At 36.3% G+C, this 18498-nt stretch overlaps 1 pseudogene, besides 1 other annotated feature; it reads left to right on the top strand.

Annotated features, from left to right (window-relative positions):
* Positions 6871-8070: an enhancer, noted in NCBI's record as "CDK7 strongly-dependent group 2 enhancer chr11:123711437-123712636 (GRCh37/hg19 assembly coordinates)". NCBI's record gives its function as "activates an origin of replication core promoter dependent on BRD2, BRD4, P300/CBP, MED14 and CDK7 cofactors, with strong dependence on CDK7, by STARR-seq in HCT116 cells {active_cell/tissue: HCT116}" and the evidence as "EXISTENCE:reporter gene assay evidence [ECO:0000049][PMID:35650434]".
* Positions 6896-7841, top strand: OR6M2P (olfactory receptor family 6 subfamily M member 2 pseudogene; annotated as a pseudogene).

Here is an 18498-nt window from a genome sequence, read left to right as displayed (position 1 = left end):
CATCTCAAAAACAAAAGACAAACAAACAAAAAAAAGAAAATCTAGAAGAAATAAATTCCTGGATACATACAACTTCCTAATATTGAGCCAGGGAGAAATTTAATCCCTGAACAGACCTATAATGAGTTCTGAAATTGAGTCATTAATAAAAACCCTACCAACCAGAAAAACCTCAAGACCAGACTCACAGCTGAATTCTACCAGATGTATAAAGAAGATCTGGTACCATGCCTACCATTTCAAAAAACTGAGGAGGAGGGCTCCTCCCTAATTCATTCTATGAGGCCAGCATCATCCTGATACCAAAACCTGGCAAAGATGCAACAAAAAAAGAAAACTTCAGGCCAATATCCTCGATGGACAGAGATACAAAAATACTCATCAATATACTAGCAAACTGAATATAGCAGCAGCACATCAAAAAGCTGCTAATCTACCATGATCAAGTAGGATTTATCCCTGGTATGCAAGGTTGCTTTGACATACACAAATCAATAAATGTGATTCACCACACAAACAGAACTAAAAACAAAAACCACAGGATTATCTCAATGGATGCAGAAAGGGCTTTCAATAAAATTCAACAACACTTTATGTTAAAAACCCTCAACAAACTAGGCATTGAAGAAACTTAGTACAAAAAATTGAGAGCCTTCTGTGACAAACCCACAGCCAACATCATACTGAATGGGCAAAAGCCAGAAGCCTTCTCTTTGAAAATTGCAACAACACAAGGATGCCCTCTACTACCACTCCTATTCAACATAGTACTGGATGTCCTAGGCAGAGCAGTCAGGCGACAGAAAGAAATAAAAGGCAAACAAATATGGAAAGAGGAAGTCAAACTATCTCCTTTTACCATCCAACATAGTAATTCTGCTCTTAAGAATGTATCCAAGACAAATAAAAACAAATATTCACACAAAAACAGAAACTCAAATGTTCATAGATGTTATATTCATAATAGCCAAAATTTGAAACAACTCAAGTGCCCATTATCTGATGAATAGATACCCAAACTGTGGTATATCTACGCAATCTATACAATTGATCATCTTCAACAGTACAAAGGCAGAAGCGACTGATACCTGAATCATTTGTATTATTGTCAAAGCATCAATTTAAGTGAAAGGAGCAAGGTACAAAATACTATATGCTATAAGATTCCATTTATGTAAAATTTTAGAAAAATCAAAATTATATTGATATGAAACATGTCAGTGGTTTTCAGGAGCTGAGGCTGGGGAAGAAAAGCATTTATTGCAAAAGAGCACCAGAAAACGTTTTAAGGTAATGGAAATATTTTTAAAATATTGTCATGTTGATGACAGTGGCTATATGACTGTATACATGTGAAAATTTAACAAATTATACATTTTAAATTACTAATTATGTATAAAGCATACCTCAATAAATGGATTTTAAAATATCTACATATATATGTAAATAATCTCACTTTGAAGAGCAGTTGAAAGCCTATTTTAAGACATGATGAACATGTCAGATTTTTTTTAAGTTTTCCAAGTTTCTATTTCTCTGAGGCTTTAAAGCAGGTCTCTAAGTTTTTCCTGAAAACACCCAAGAGAGTTTTCCAGGAAACCTTAACTTTTTAACTATGATTAGTTACTTCAATTCTAACATTACTTGATTGCAGTAATAATAAACCTTTTCTATGCAATAGTCCCAAGAGCCATTCTAATCCCGATCTCTGAAGGTAAACAAAAAATCATTAAAGATCACAATTATAATCACTTTAATACAGGGAAGGTCATATTATTTTCTGGGGCGAGCAAATAAGGTAGATGTATCTAAAATCAAGTCACAATATGCCTGATGAATAAGCAGGAATACCTAAACAAAATGCTGAAGGTTAAAGAGATTACTTCACTGAATACAAATATAATATTTTCTAACAATCAAGAATGTTAAAGTAAAATAAGATGATTTAAGAATAGCAAGTTTAATGTCACTGGATAACTTGTTGAAGATATTGTAGAACTTTTTAGGACAAAGTTGGCTCAGATGCCCTTTAAGTTTTCTTCCAATCTGACATTCTGTGGGTTTGAAAACTTCAATTTTCTGGATGGATCCACTGAAGAAATAGAAATCGACTGGATAGACAGGAAATTACATTCCTACTGCTGAAAAAATAATTGAGAGTTCAGAAGCTTTCGATCATTTTACCAGTGATCTAAAATAGAAGTCAAGGACCTATGCTTAATTCAGTCGTGTCTAATGTCTTGATTCATTACCAAATCAAAATTCTTTTGGCAAAAATGTAGTCCTTGAAACTCAGAGGACTATTCGAAGTTTGAGATACACTAGATATGCAGGATGAAATGATTAAATAATGGTATAACACTTGGACTTAGTATAAATCAAGACTTAGACTTCTTCAATGGGACTAAGAAAAAGAACTGAGAAAAGTAATTAGAGGTTATAAAAAGATAGCTTCTCAATCAAGGGAAGACAGATGGAGTATTCCAGCCAAAATTGAATAACCATTCGGTATGGTTCTGCAAAGGGGATTAAGTGTGGTATAAGGAGGAGTCTCAGCTAAAACAGAGGTAGGTTTATAGAGAATTCAAAACTGGAGCAGTGAAAGCATTTAAAGAATAATGAATGATATGGAGTAGGAAAAAAATACTTGAAGTTCAAATTTCTTAACATATTTGAATGAAGAAATTACCAATCGTTCTACAAGCAGTGTAATGTAAGTATACTTTGTCATGTAATTATCTGTATTTATGTCAAACAATCTAAGTGTCACTTAAATTTGTTTATGGGTAATTTTATAAATTAAAATGTAATTACCATTCTGTCAAATATTTTATGAGGGAGGGTGTCAAATGTTATATCTTTATCCTAAGTATGTAATTAAATCTTTTAATATACTTCAGTAACAAACATTTTTACATTTTACTGATAGTAAAGAACTTAAGTTACATCTAATCCCCAACCTGCATCACATCTTATTTCATTTCTGTTCACCCTTTCCCAACCCTATGTTCTTAAGAAACATTTAGTGAGCACCTACTAGGTATAAATCACTGTGGTAGGCACTGTCTTAGGACCTTGAATCTGGTATTACTACTTTTGCCATTTTAGAGATGAGGAAGATAAAACTCAGGATGCTTAAGCATCCTATTAAAAGATCATAAAGCTACAAGTGATTAAACTAAAAATATAGCATATCATTGATTCTAAAACCTGCTACACTTTTTCCTATTATGCCACATTTTCCTGACTAATTCTTGAATCTTTAAATGTGCAATTTTACGCAATTTTCTAAGGATCCACAGAAATGTTAATGAGGGAACAAATGCCCCCAAAAATGAAAGCCTAAATTGTTACACACAGGTCTTTACAGTCCAGAGAGCCCAGAGCCTTCCTTCCTAGATATGATGAGGTCCTCAGGGCCCTGAGATAACCTTAAAAAGGCCATGTTCTTTTCAGAAGTTAAGAGGCTCCACAAAGGAGAGAGATGCTACGTATTCAGTTCTTCTCAGAGACGTACATTTGACCCAAAGTATAGCAAAATAGAAAGCTCGCAATACCATTTTTTTTTCCCATAGTGATAATTTTTTATGACAATCATGGCAAATAACAACTCTGTTTGTTTTCAACCACCACAGATTTTGATTGTTTAAAAATTGTATAATGCTTTTGAAAAGCCTGAGTTGCTCAATTTTTAAAATACCAGAGGGAAATCAAGCTCCTATCAGGGTCCTAAAAGACTACCTAGCAACAAAAAAAAAAAAAAAGTAAGACATTAAGGATGTTGTAAAGAAATTAGACAAATGAAAGGAACAATGGGATGATAGGCATTGAACAATGGGATGATAGGTATGAAAATCTTCATTATTCTGCCTTAAGATATCTGTCAGTCTTCAGTGTTATCAGTGATGAAGAGAGGAAGGGGAAAATGCAGGGGAATTCTAAAGCTTTTCTCCTTGTCTACATAGTGTGCTCTATTCTATTTTTGTATTCTATCTCAATAACATTATTACTTGCCTAACCAGATATAGTTTTTGCTCTTTGTGCTGTAGCCAATAGTTTAGAAGTTTATTGTCTGGGCAAAAGAGCAGTAGAGCGAGCGAGGAGAGAACATTAGAGTATTTGTGGTAAAAAGAGTTTCTATTGGTGCCAAGAGCCTATTTCAATAGATATTACTCTTTGGAATTCTTTAATAACTTAAAATCTAATTAAACAGCCCACCTTGTAACAATTCAAAAAATTACTAGAAGAAGTGGAATAATGCACTTTACTAATGTAAACTTCTCTTTTTATCATAGAATTTCACCTTTTTGTTTGTCTCCCACCTCTAAACTACGAAAGATCTTGATTAGGCATTGCGGTGTTTGGGTTTCTTCCCAAGCCCAGCATTAATATTGCAGGAAGCAGTTTTCCAAAACTACACAGATCCTGATAACTGGGCAAAGAAAAACACACCAAGAAAGTACAGGATGTGATAGAAGTCTGCACTGGATATGTGAAAATACAAGCTATAGAGGTTACCATTGCTTACCCTTGTGGCAGCTGCAACCTCATGCTTCAGGGAGAAGCTTCCCCAATTCTGATTTATTTATTTAGTAAATCAATGAGCACCTTCTGGGCTCAAAGGATGAGGTATGAAATAGATATGGCGTCTGACCTCATGAAAAACAAAAGAAATATTTAGACTGGGAAGGAATATGGAGAGGACCAATACTCATGGATTCAGAAACCAGGACCAAGGATGTTAAGGAAGTAAAAAGAGCTACTAAGCTCAACAGCAAGTCAAGTTATTCCATGCCACTTTCATTTGAAAATTACTCTTAAATAGACAAAAACCACTATGCATTTGTAAAGTGTACTTACCAACAGCTTAGAAATGTGAAAAAATTATAAGAAACCAGAATGTTCTTATATGGAACAGAGAAGATGAAGATAATTATTAAAATAACAAGGATACCTTGATTCATGAAAAAATGAGTAGTGAATAAAAATAAAGAAGCAACTACAAGAACCAGAAAAAGTCACAGCCAGATTTGCAAATGGAAATATGTTTAGAAAAAATGTCTTAGCTCTGAGACTTACCACAATTAAGATCATAGCATTTATTTTACTTATTTATCTAATTTTCTGTCTCTCTTAACTATACTGTAAGCTTCATAAGGGAAGTTTTTTGTTGTTAACATTTTTGCTTTGTTTTTGCTTTATATTTTTTGTTTTCCTCTGATATAGCTCCAGCACCTGAAAATTTGCATGATGCACGGCATATGCTAAAGAAAACTATGTGTTAATTAAAAGAATGAATAAATGAAAAAATAATAATAGTAACAGCTTCTGGCAGGTCACTTTTCCCAGGTAGAGAGTCTGAGGAAATGGCCTCCCTTAAAGAGGAATTCTGTGTGCACCACGTTAAAAAATTTACCTAGTTCAGAGATATAAATTAGTTGTTTTAACTTGAAACTAGAGCACTGGTCACAAAATAATATACCAGAGGACAGTGCTTCAGCTGAATTACATAGACATGAAACAGATCTTCGGTGAAGCAGGGCAGTATTCAGAGATTAAGCTGAGTGTTTCATATACATCTTTTCGATAGATCAAATACATGTTTCGGCATCCACTTTTTTGCAGTATTATTAATAACCTACTCTTCAAATGGCTGGGAAAAAAATGCCGTGTATAAAAGACTTCTTTGGGAAAACCTGTAAGAATCAGTTGGAGAAGGAAAGGGGAAACGTTTGTTGTTCTTTTGGATGCTGCCATGAATGTAACATGGCAACAAACAACAAAATAACAACAAATAATCATTTTTCCATCAGATTTTTTTCAAAATATTTAAAATAGGTTACACAGATTATGAATTATGTATCATGGACCTACTTGTTCCATAACAGTGTAGACATCAAAACATTTCTATTATATAAAGTAAAAACAAAGAAAAACTAAGTAGGGAAAGACTGATTGATTAGAGTAATTTGTGTCCAATTGTCTATTACACTGATATTCAAAACATGGTAACAATAACAAAAATGAGTAGAGGTAAATGTTGACTCCCCTCGATTTAACTGTCTTGGCCAGTTTTAACAGTTTCTGTTCTTTGATTTAGAAGATATCTTCAAAGTTGAAATAACTTTGAGAAAAGTAACAAGTTTTTTTTGTTTTTTGTTTGTTTTGAGACAGTCTCACTCTGTCACCAGGCTGAAGTGCTGTGGTGTGATCTCAGCTCACTGCAATCTCCGCCTCCTGAGTTCAAGCAATTCTCCTGCCTCAGCCTCCCGAGTAGCTGGGACTACAGGCACCCGCCACCGTGCCCAGCTAATTTTTGTATTTCTAGTAGAGACAGGGTTTCACCATGTTGGCCAGGATGGTCTCAATATCTTGACCTCGTGATCCGCCCACCTCGGTCTCCCAAAGTGCTGGGATTACAGGTATGAGCCACCTCACCGGGCCTAACTCAAGTTTTATTAACCTTCTTTTTCTCAATTTTTCAAATAATTGACCAGATTCTCAGTTTAGTATGCCTCTCTTTTTAAGAACAGAATTTAGCTGGGAAAGTAGTAGGTCAGGAAGAGCAAAAAAGAGACAGGAAGGAGCATTGTGTAAAAGAGACTAAAATCATAAAGACTAGAATTATAGGGACCATGAGGATAATTTCATTCAATCAAAACTTTGAAATATGAGAATACTGAAGTTAGAAGAAGTAATGTCATTTACCCAAGGGACCACATTTAATAAAGTCAGAAGCAGACTGTGAACGAATCACTCTTGACTCCTCACACAAAGTTTTTTCTATTTCACTCTTATCACAGATATTGGGAGTTGAAAACTTCCGTAAGTTGAGCATCATCTCTGCATTTTATCTTTTTTTTTTCAGAGATGTGCTTCCCACTAGGCATTGCCTGCAGTGGACATCCAAAATCAGACCACAGTGACTGAGTTTACCCTGACGGCCTTTCCTGTTCTTCAGCAGCTTCAAATTTCCCTTTTTGCAGTCCTCTTGTTTACTTATATGCTTACTCTAACAGGAAACGTTGCCATCATTTCCCTAACATGTGCGAATCATCGCCTCCAAACCCCAATGTACTTCTTCCTCAGTAATTTGTCAATTTTGGACATTTTTTTCACCACCTCAGTTATCCCAAAGCTATTAGCCTGTCTCCTGCAGGACAAGAAGACCATATCTTTTGCTGGGTGCATCACCCAAACTTATTTCCTTTGTTTTCTTGGGGACAGTGGAGTTTATCCTCTTGGCAGTGATGTCCTTTGACTGCTACGTGGCCATCTGTGACCCCCTGCACTACACCATTATCATGAACAGCAGGGCCTGCCTCCTACTAGTTCTGGGCTGCTGGGTTGGAGCCTTCCTGTCTGTGTTGTGCCCAACCATTGTGGTGTCCAGATTGCCTTTCTGTTACAAGGAAATTAGTCACTTCTTCTGTGACATCACCCCTCTGCTACATGTGTCCTGTATAGACACTCATTTCATCGAGATGATAAACTTCCTCTTATCTTCCCTCATCCTCCTGACCTCACTGGTGCTCACCACTGTGTCCTACATCTACATCATTTCTACCATCCTGCACATCCCCTCAGCCCAAGGACGTCGGAAGGCCTTTTCCACGTGCGCTTCCCACATCACCGTCATTTCCATCGCTTATATAAGCAACATCTTCAGGTATGTGAGGCCCAGCCAGAGTCATTCAATGGGTTTTGACAAGGTGACAGCTGTCCCCACAATGGTGACCCCTCTTCTGAATCCCTTCACTTATAGTCTAAGAAATGAAAAGGTAAAGGCAGTCTTGAAAGAAGCAGTCAGCAAAATTATGTCCTCATGGCACAGGAGAACTTAAAACTTTAACCAAGCTTTTCTGCTCAGAATGGTTATTTTCATCTCTAGCTCAGTGTGGAGAAAGACAGATTTAGACACCAGAAAATCAAAGGCATATGGGAAGGTATGAATAGGCTCAGTGCCGCATCAGAGGCAAAGTACTGTAGTCACAGTTTAGAAGAGACAATTCAGCCATAGAGAAAATGACATTCCCTGAACTCTATGATTGAACCACTGTGCATTCACAATATCATGGATTAATGAAAAATACAAAACTAAAATCAAAAAACCTAAATTTTGAGCCTGGCTTTATCACCCTTTTTTTTTTTTTTTTTTATCGAGTGACACTTAGCCTATCTGACCATTTGTTTTCTCATCTGTGAAATGGGGACGTTGTGCTTTTTCTTTTTGTTGTTGTAGGCTTAGCTAAGATGGTCTAAGAAATGAAACCACATATAATTAAAAACAAACACTTCTACTAGTTCTTTTCAGATGTTGCAAGCCTTCAACCTTGATAGTTAAATATTATATAATAATAGTAACAATAGCAAGGAAGGAATAATAATAATAACAATAACATAATCCAGGGTTTATACAGTATACTTAAATATATACACATGTATTTCATTTATTCCTCCTAATAACCTTAGAAAGCTGATATCATTATCTCCATTTTACAGATGAGAAAACTGATGTTTACAGAGGTTAAGCATCTTGCCCCAAACTACATCATTGGTAAGTGGCAGAAATTTAGAATATGTGAACTTCAGACTCCTTTAGCACTCCACTATATTATAAAGTGTGGAAGGAAAACTTAAGAGGGGAAACCAAATTAGCCTGGAAGCTACCTTCTTTTTCTGAAGCCAGAAGCCAACAGTTAGACAGACCTGCAGATCAAGGCAGACCAGAAGTGGGATACAATTAGAATGGACTGAGAGGCAATTTGGTTTGAAAGGAAAACTATTTATTCAGAAGCCATAACTGACCATGAGTCTAGACTGATCATCTATAGCAACTGGCGAATATGGCCATCATATACAGAAGATGATCTTAGCATTCATTTGGTTGAGGAAAAAAAAAGTATCAGAAAACTAATCAAGCTTGCTTAAGTAAACTATGTACTTATCATAATAATCAAAAGTGCCATATGGAACCCCAGAAAATAAGAAACATCAAAACCTGCTAAGTGACAAAAAGAAGGAACTAGAAATTTGTAAGGAGCCAAGGTAGGTATTCTCTTCTCTTTAAGTCTCTGATTTCTCCTTAGGTCTCTCTGTAGCTGTATTTCTCTGTATTATTTTTCTCCATATACTTTGTGGTAGGCTGAATAATGGCCCCTAAAGATATCCAGGTTCTGACCTCTGGAAACGGTGAATGTTATCTTATGTGGCAAAGAGATTTTTGTAGATGTGATTAAGTTAAAGTTCTTGAGATGGGGGATTATCCTGGATTACCCAGATGCGCCCTACATGTAATCCCAAATGTCATCGTAAGAGCTAGGCAAAAGGAGATTTTATTACAAAAATGAAGGCCATGTGACGATGAAAGCAGAGAGAGATTTGATGCTGCTGCTCTGCTGGCTTTGGAGACAGAGGAAAGGGCCACAAACCAAGAAATAAACCTCCGAAAGCTAGAAAAGGCAACGAAGCTGATTTTCTCCCACAACCTCCAGCATGACTCTGCCAACACCTGGGTTTCAGCCCAGTGAAACTGTTTTTGGATTTCTTGCCCTCAGAACTGTAAAATAATACATTAGTGTTGTTTTAAGCCACCAAGTTTGTGGTAATTTGTTACAGCAGCCATAAGAAACTAATATACACCTGATTTGCTTTTCTGTCTCTGCAGTGTTTTTTTCCACTTTTCTGTGCACATGGAAGATAGCTGCTTTTGTCATTCACAAATATATGTATATACTCAATTACAGATATATATTCAATATATAAGGGTATAGATATTGAATGTATTTGAATGTATTGATATGTATTAAATTTAAGTGGATACATATTTAAAATGATCTGAGTTCAAAATCCAAATTTCTGGGAGGAGGATATGGTTGGTCCAACTAGAGAGAGATTTCCACTTCTGATTCACTTATTTGTAAGAAGAATGAGTCAGCAAGGTATCAAATCACCGTGTCCACAATGCCAATAAGTAGGTGCTGTGGGAGTAAGCTCTCTAAAAAGAGTGTAGGAATGGGAAAAAGACAGACTCTCTAGCTGAGTGGACAAAGATAGGGGCCTTAAGAATTGGCATGGAATCTCTCAGCAAAGAGCAGGTAAAGAAAGAGCTGTCTTAGGAATGAATTCAGAGTATTATAAGAGAGCACAGTCCATCATAAGATAACGAAGTGGACAAATGTTTAAAGACAAAAAGAAGGTAGACCAAAGTCAGCAAGAGTGAAGGAGTCCCGTAACTTTCTGCTCTGTGCTTATAATCAGAGCCTAATTAAGACAAGGTATCAAAAGTTACCATATTAGGTGATTATTGCTGCCATAACAAATTCCCACCAATTTGGCAGCTTAAAACAACACAGATTTGTTATCTCATACTTCTGTAGGTCAGAAGCCCAACACAGATCTTACCGGGCTAAAATGTCAGCAGGCTGCATTCTTTCCTGGGAGCCCTAGCAGATAATCCATTTCCTACACCTTTGGGTTGTTAACAGAATTCATTTTCTTGAAAGCTATACTATGGTTTCAACCTGGAAATTTGTTTCACTCGAGGAGGAAATTTATTCCACTAAATCTAAGAAATTGTTTGTTTTGCTATGGTTATGACATTGAATTAAGTGGTAGTGACAAAATGCTAAAAAAGACCTTTAACATTGAAACACTGTATACATTTTAATCATGAGCAGTAATACCTTTAAGAGCTTCTTAAAATCTTAAAGCCAAATCACCTATTTTGAAAAGTCATTTTAAAGCTGGAAGAAAATCCACTATACAGAATGTTTAAATAACTTTGTTTGAAGAGTGGGATTATAATTATATCTCTTTTTCCCACATTTTGGAGCTTTTAAAACTTGGGAAGCATATGTCAATTTTAATATTGGAAAAATTAACAAACATAATTTTCATAAACAATAAAATATATATTAGAAGGAGAGTTAAGTTCAGATGTTTCCTCAAGTAGGAGATATGATTTAAAACTTTTCTTTTTATTTTACAGTTAAAGAGAAAAAACTGTCATGAGTTCACTTGAGTAATAGACTTATAAAGAATACGTTCTTACTAGCGCAGAGACTGAAGTTAAAAAAATTTTTTTAAATTTTTTAAAGGAATACATTCTTAAATTGAGATTCCTCCTCCATAAAGATAAATGCAAATCCTTGAAAATGTCTACATCTTAAGAACCCGGTTATTTTTAAAATATTAATATAATTAAATACTCCAAAGATTTTTGTAAACCCTTGGATTTATGAAATTGAAAGTATAAACTGAGGGAGGTGTCCTGAGAAAAACTGAATGGAGTATTCTTTTAATGGTCACATTCCCACTCCACATTCCCATTCCCATCTGCCACACAGAAACTGATCCCCTTCCTCAAACCTTATACAAAAATTAACTCAAGATAGAGTAAAGACCTAAATGTAAAACCCAAAACCATAAAAACCCTAGAAGAAAACCTAGAAAATACCATTCAGGACATAGACATGGGCAAAGACTTCATGACTAAAACACTAAAAGCAATTTCAAGAAAAGCCAAAATTGACAAATGGTATCTAATTAAACTAAAGGGCTTCTGCACAGCAAAAGAAACTAGCATCAGAGTGAACAGCCAACCTACAGAATGGGAGAAAATTTTTGCAATCTACCCATCTGACAAAGGTCTAATATCCAGAATCTACAAGGAACTTAACTAAATTTACAACAACAACAACAAAAAAAAAACCCATCAAAAAATGGGCAAAGGATATGAACAGATGCTTCTCAAAAAGGACATTTATGTGGCCAACAAACATAGGAAAGAAAAATCATCATCACTGGTCATTAAAGAAACGCAAATCAAAACCAAAATGAGATACCATCTCACGCCAGTCAGAAAGGTGATTATTAAAATCTCAGGAAACAATATATGCTGGTGAGGCTGTGGAGAAATAGGAACACTTTTACACTGTTGGTGGGAGTTTAAATTAGTTCAACCACTGTGGAAGACATTGTGGCAATTCTTCAAGGATCTAGAACCAGAAATACCATTTGACCCAGCAATCCCATTACCCAAAGGATTACAAATCATTCTACTATAAAGACACATGCACATGTATGTTTATTGCAGCACTATTTACAATAGCAAAGACTTGGAACCAACCCAAATGCCCATCAATGATAGACTGGATAAAGAAAATGTGGCAAATATACACCATGGAATACTATGCAGCCATAAAAAAGAATGAGTTCATGTCCTTTGCAGGAACATGGATGAAGCTGGAAACCATCATTCTTAGCAAACTAACACAGGAACAAAAAACCAAACACCACATGTTCTCACTCATAAGTGGGAGTTGTGCAATGAGAACACATGGACACAGAGAGGGGAACATCACACACCAGGGCCTGTCAGGGGGTAGGGGTGAGGGGAGGGAGAGCATTAGGACAAATACCTAATGCATGCAGGGCTTAAAACCTAGATGATGAGTTGATAGGTGCAGCAAACCACCATGGCACGTGTATAACTATGTAACAAATCTTCATATTCTGCACATGTATCCCAGAACTTAAAGTAAAATAAAAATGTCAAAAACAGAAAACATACGGCAAACTTATGAAGTGTTGATATATTTTTTTAATTCCAAAAGTAATATAGGGCTCTATTTCCAATAAGCAGCCTGAAAGAATTGCACCTTTGAAAAGAAATCACCCTCACAAATAAAAAAAAGGCTAAAATTAGACAGTCATCAAAAAAGAACTGCTTAAAGCCTGGCTAATTAAAAATGGCATAACAAAGCAGAGATAGATGGAATATTTACTAATTCTTTTTCTTTTTTTTATTTCTTCTAAAATAAATGGGATACATGTGCAGAATGTGTAGGCTTGTTACATAGGTATACATGTGCCATGGTGGTTTTCTGTACCTATTGACCCATCCTCTAAGTTTCCTCCCCTCACCTCCCACCCCGCAACAGGCCCTGGTGTGTGTTGTTCCCCTCTCTGTGTCCATGTGTTCTCAATGTTTAACTCCCACTTATGAGTGAGAACATGCGGTGTTTGGTTTTCTGTTCCTGTGTTAGTTTCCTGAGAATGATGGTTTCCAGCTTCATCCATGTCCCTGCAAAGGACATGATCTCATTCCTTCTTATGGCTGCATAGTATTCCATGGTCTACTAAAATTTTAATGAATCATTATAAAAGATGAGTGGTCCTGATGTTTCACCAACTCTTCAACCTGTAAAAGGACCGCAAGAGATTCGCTCAATTTATACTAGCTTTGATATTTTTTTAAAACTGATTATTTTTTTTAGGGTGGTTCACATCTGTAATCCCAGAACAGGGAGGCCAAGATAGGAGGATTGCTTGAGTCCAGGAGCTCAAGATCATCCTGGGCAACATAATGAGACTCTGTCTCTACAAAGAAAATCAAAAAAGTGGCCAGGCACGATGGCTCATGCCTGTAATCCCAGCACTTTTGGAGGCTGAGGCAGGCAGATCACGAGGTCAGGAGTTCGAGACCAGCCTGGCCAATATGGCATAACCCCGTCTCCACTAAAAATACAAAAATTAGCTGGGCATGGTGGTGCATGCCTGTAGTCCCACCTACTCAAGGGGCTGAGGCAGAAGAATCGCTTGAATCGGGAGGTGGAGGTTGAAATGAGCCGAGATCACACCACTGCATTCCAGCCTGGGCTACAGAGCAAGACCTGTCTCAGAAAAAAAAAAAAAAAAAAAAAGAAAGAAAGAAAGAAGGAAAAAAAAAGAAAGAAAGAAGGAAAAAAAAGAAAAGAAAAGAAAGAAAATTTTAAAAGTTAGCTAGGCATGGTGGTGCATGCCTGTAGTCCTAGTTGCTCCAGAGGCTGAGGCGGGAGGATGCTTGAGCCCAGGAGTTCAAGGCTGCAGTGAGCCATGATCATGCTACTACAGTCCAGCCTAGAAGACAGAATAAGACACTGTCTCAATAAAATATAAAATAGAATAAAATAAAATAAAAAGAATCCATAATCCCTGCAGATATAGTGCTGACCAAAATGGTGTATGGCAAAAAGCAGGGTTATGAATCTGAGAGATGAGAGAGGCTAAATATCCTAGCACAAAACCCAACAGGCGAACAGAGCCAGTTTGTATGGGCATAGGTAAACTGGCCTGGGAACGGTAAAGTAAGTTTACTGGGGCTGCTGGACACTTGTGCACAACACGCTGTCATACACAAATGTAATATTGAAAAGTTAAAAGACAATTGATTAAATTAGGGGATATGGTGATGCACACCCAAAAATAAGGATTTAAAGTAAAAATCTTTTCTATAGTTTCCTTATTGTTTTTTCCAGCCTTATTGTGGTGTAATTGACAATTAAAAATTGTATCTATTCTAAGGTGTACAATGTTATATTTGATATATATTAAATATCTGCTGCAAATGTCATCATTTCATTCCTTCTTATGGCTGAGTAGTATTCCGTGGTATATATATGCCACATTTTTCTTTATCTACACATTGACCGATGGGCATTTGGGCTTGTTCTATATTTTTGCAATGTGAATTGTGCTGCTATAAACATGCATGCTCAAGTATCTTTTTCATATACTGGCTTCTTTTCCTCTGGGTAAATACCCAGGAGTGGGATTGCTGGATCAAATGGTAGGCCGACTTTTAGTTCTTTACGAAAACTCCACACTGTTTTCGTAATGGTTGAAACACTGTACACATAGACTGTGGTTGAAACACTAATACATAGACTGTGAAATGATCACCACAATCAAGCTAATTAACATATGCATCACATCACGTTACCATTTGTTTGTTGGTGTGTGATAAGAACACTGAAGATCTACTCTCTCAGCAAATTTCAAGTATACAGTGCAGTATTATGAACTATAGTCACCATGCTGTACGTTAGATCTCCAGAGCTTATTCATCATGCATAACTGAAACTTTGTACCCTTTGACCAACAACTCTTCCTCATGCCCAACCACCAGCCCCTGGCAACTACCATTCTACTCTCTGCTTTTGTGAGTTTGACCTTTTTAGATTCCATATGTGTAAGTAAGATCATTTAATATTGGCCTTTTCTATGGTCATTTATCCCACTTAGCATAATACTCTCCCACCTCCTACAGGTTCATTCACGCTTTTGCAAAATCAGAGGTTTTTTTTTTTCTTTTTTAAGGCTGAAAAGTATTCCATTATATTTACATACCATGTTCTTTTATCCATTTACCCATTGGTGGACACTTAGTTTGTTTCCATACCTTGAGTATTGTGAATAATGATAAAACAAACATGAAAGTACAGCTGTTTCTTTGAGATCTAATTTCAAGTCTTTGGACATATACCCAGAAATGAGCATGCCAGATCATCTGGTAATTCTATTTTTAATTTTTTGAGGAATCTCCATATTATTCTCCATAATGGTTATACCAATTTATATTTCTACCAACAGGCTACAAGATTTCTCTTTTCCACCCGTACTCACCAACATCTGTCATCCCTTCTCTTTTTGATAATAGCCATTCTAACAGGCATGAGATGATCTCATTGTGGTTTTGACTCATATTTCTCTGATGATTAGTGATGTTGAGAACCTTTTTCATATACCTATTAGTTACCTGTATCTCTTCTTGGGAAAAATGTCTATCCAGATTCTTTGCCCATTTTTAATTGGGTTATTTGGTTTTTTGCTATTGAATGTTTGAATTCCGGATATTAACTCATTTTTTTATTTCAATAGGTTTTTGGGGAACAGGTGGTGTTTGGTTACATTAATAAGTTATTTGGTGGTGGTTTCTGAGATTTTAGTGAACCTATCACCCAAGCAGTGTACACTATACCCGATCTGAATTTTTTTTCATCCCTTACCCTCTTCCGACACTTTCCTCTGAATCTTCAAAGTCCACGGTATCACTCTTATGCCTTAGTCCTCATAGCTTAGCTCCCACTTACGAGTGAGAACATGCAATGTTTGCTTTTCCATTCCTGAGTTACCTCAATTAGAATGATGGTCTGCAATTCCATCCACATTGCGGCAAATGCCATTATTTTATTCCTTTTAATTACTGAGTAGTATTCCATGGCATATATATGCCACATTTTCTTTATCCACTCGTTGATTGGTGAGTTTTTGGGCTGGTTCCATATTTTTGCAATTGCGAATTGTGCTGCTGTAAACATACATATGCAAGTTATCTTTTTTGTATAATGACTTCTTTTTCTCTGGGTAGATACCCAGGAGTGGGATTGCTGGATCAAATGGTAGATCTACTTTTAGTTCTTTAAGGAGTCTACTTTTAGTTCTTTAAGGAATCAGCATTTTCCATAATGGTTGTACTAGTTTAGATTTCCACCAACAGTGTAAAAGTGTTCCCTTTTCACCACATCCAGGCAAAAATCTATTTTTTTAAATTTTTTGATTATGGCCATTCTTACAGGAGTAAGGTGGCATCACATTGTGGTTTTCATTTGCATTCCCCCGATAATTAGTGATGCTGAGCATTTTTTCATGTTTGCTGAACATTTGTATATCTTCTTTCGAGAATTATCTATTCATAGCCCACTTTTTTATGGGATTTTTTGTTTTTCTCTTGCTGATTTGTTTGAGTTCCTTGTAGATTCTGGATATTAGTCCTTGTCAGATGTATAGATTGTGAAGATTTTCTCCCTCTCTGAGGGTTGTCTGTTTACTCTGCTGATTATTTCTTTTGCTGTGCAGAAGCTTTTTAGTTTAATTAAGTTTCATCTATTTACCTTTGTTTTTGTTGCATTTGCTTTTGTGTTCTTGGTCATGAAGTCTTTGCCTAAGCCAATGTCTAGAAGGGTTTTTCTGATGTTATCTTCCAGACTTTTTATAGTTTCAGGTCTTAGATTTAAATCTTTGATCCATCTCGAGTTGATTTTTGTGTAAGGTGAGAAATGAGGATCCAGTTTCATTCTTCTACATTTGGCTTGCCAATTATTCCAGCACCATTTGTTGAGTGAAGTCCTTGCCCACTTTCTGTTCTTGTTTGCTTTGTCGAAGATCAGTTGACTGTAAGTGTTTGGCTTTATTTCTGGGTTCTCTATTCTGTTCTATCGGTCGATATTCCTGTTTTTATAACAGTATCATCCTGTTTTAATGGCTATGGCCTTATGGTATAGTTTGAAGCCAGGTAATGTAATGCCTCCAGATTTATCCTTTTTGCTTAGTCTTGCTTTGGCTATGTGGGTTCCTTTTTGGTTCCATATGAATTTTAGGATTGTTTTTTCTAGTTCCATGAAGAATGATGGTAGTATTTTTTATGGGAATTGCATTGAATTTGTAGATTGCTTTGGGCAGTATGGTCATTTTCACAATATTGATTCTACCCATCCATGAGCATGGATGTGGCAACCCACCTCCTTCAAAGAATCTGTGGATTCTCTCAGCTTTTCTAGTATGTTCCTGCAGTAGTTCTTAGAGCAAAAGTCACAATGTGGGTCTCCACATGCTGCTTTGCCCGTCCAAGTGGGAGCTGCAAGTTAGTCCTGCCTCCTATCTGCCACTTTCCCTTGGTTATTAAGTCTTTGTCAGATATATGGTTTACAAATATTTTCACCCAAGCCATAAGTTATCTCTTCCCTCTGTTGATTGTTTCATGGTTAGGCAGAAGCTTTTTAGTTTCATGAATTGCCCTTGTCTAACTGAGCTTTTGTTGCCCATGTGTTTGGTGTCAACTAAAAAATCATTGCTTACACCAAATTGAAAATGCTTTTCCCCTATGTTTGTGTCCAGGAGGTTTACACTTTCAGATCATACATTTAGGTCTTTAATCACATTTGAGTTGATTTTTGATAGGAGGCAGTACTAACTTGCAGCTCCCACTCGGACAGGCAAAGCAGCATGGGGAGAGCCACACTGTGACTTTTGTATATGGGTCCAATTTAATTCTTCTGTGTGTGGATATCCAATTTTCTCAATATAATTTATTTAAGAGACATTCTTTCCCCACTGTGTGTTCTTGGCATCTTTTTAAAAATCAATTGACCATAAATGATAAATTTAATTATGGGGTCTCTGTTCTGCTTCATTGGACTGTAAGTTAGATTTTATGCCAGTATCATGCTATTTTGATTACTATAGGATTGTAGCATTTTTTGAAGTAGGGAGTGTGATGCCTCCAGTTTTGTTCCTTTTGATCAAGATTTCTTTCATTCTTTGGGGTCTTCTGTGGTTCCTTACAAATTTTAGGATTTTTTTCTATCTCTTTGAAAAATGTCATTATAACTTTGATAGGGATTCCATGGAATCTGCAGATTGCTTTCAGTAGTATGAACATTATAAGAATATTTATTCTTGGGTACTTTCCATTTCTTTCTCTTGTATAATTGCATAATTGTTCTGACTAGGATTTCCAAGACCATATTGACTAGAAGTGGCAAGAGTGGACATCCTTGCTTTGTTCCTGATTTACAAGAAATGATTTCACCTTTTCACCATTAAGCATGATGTTAGCAGGAGATCCAAGATGGCCAAATAGGAGCAGCTCTGGTCTGTAGCTCCCAGCATGATTGA

This window comes from Homo sapiens, chromosome 11 (genome assembly GCF_000001405.40).
Source record: "Homo sapiens chromosome 11, GRCh38.p14 Primary Assembly".
NCBI lineage: Eukaryota > Metazoa > Chordata > Mammalia > Primates > Hominidae > Homo > Homo sapiens.
Note: the sequence above shows the minus strand (reverse complement) of the source record. Positions and strands in the feature narration are given on the sequence as shown.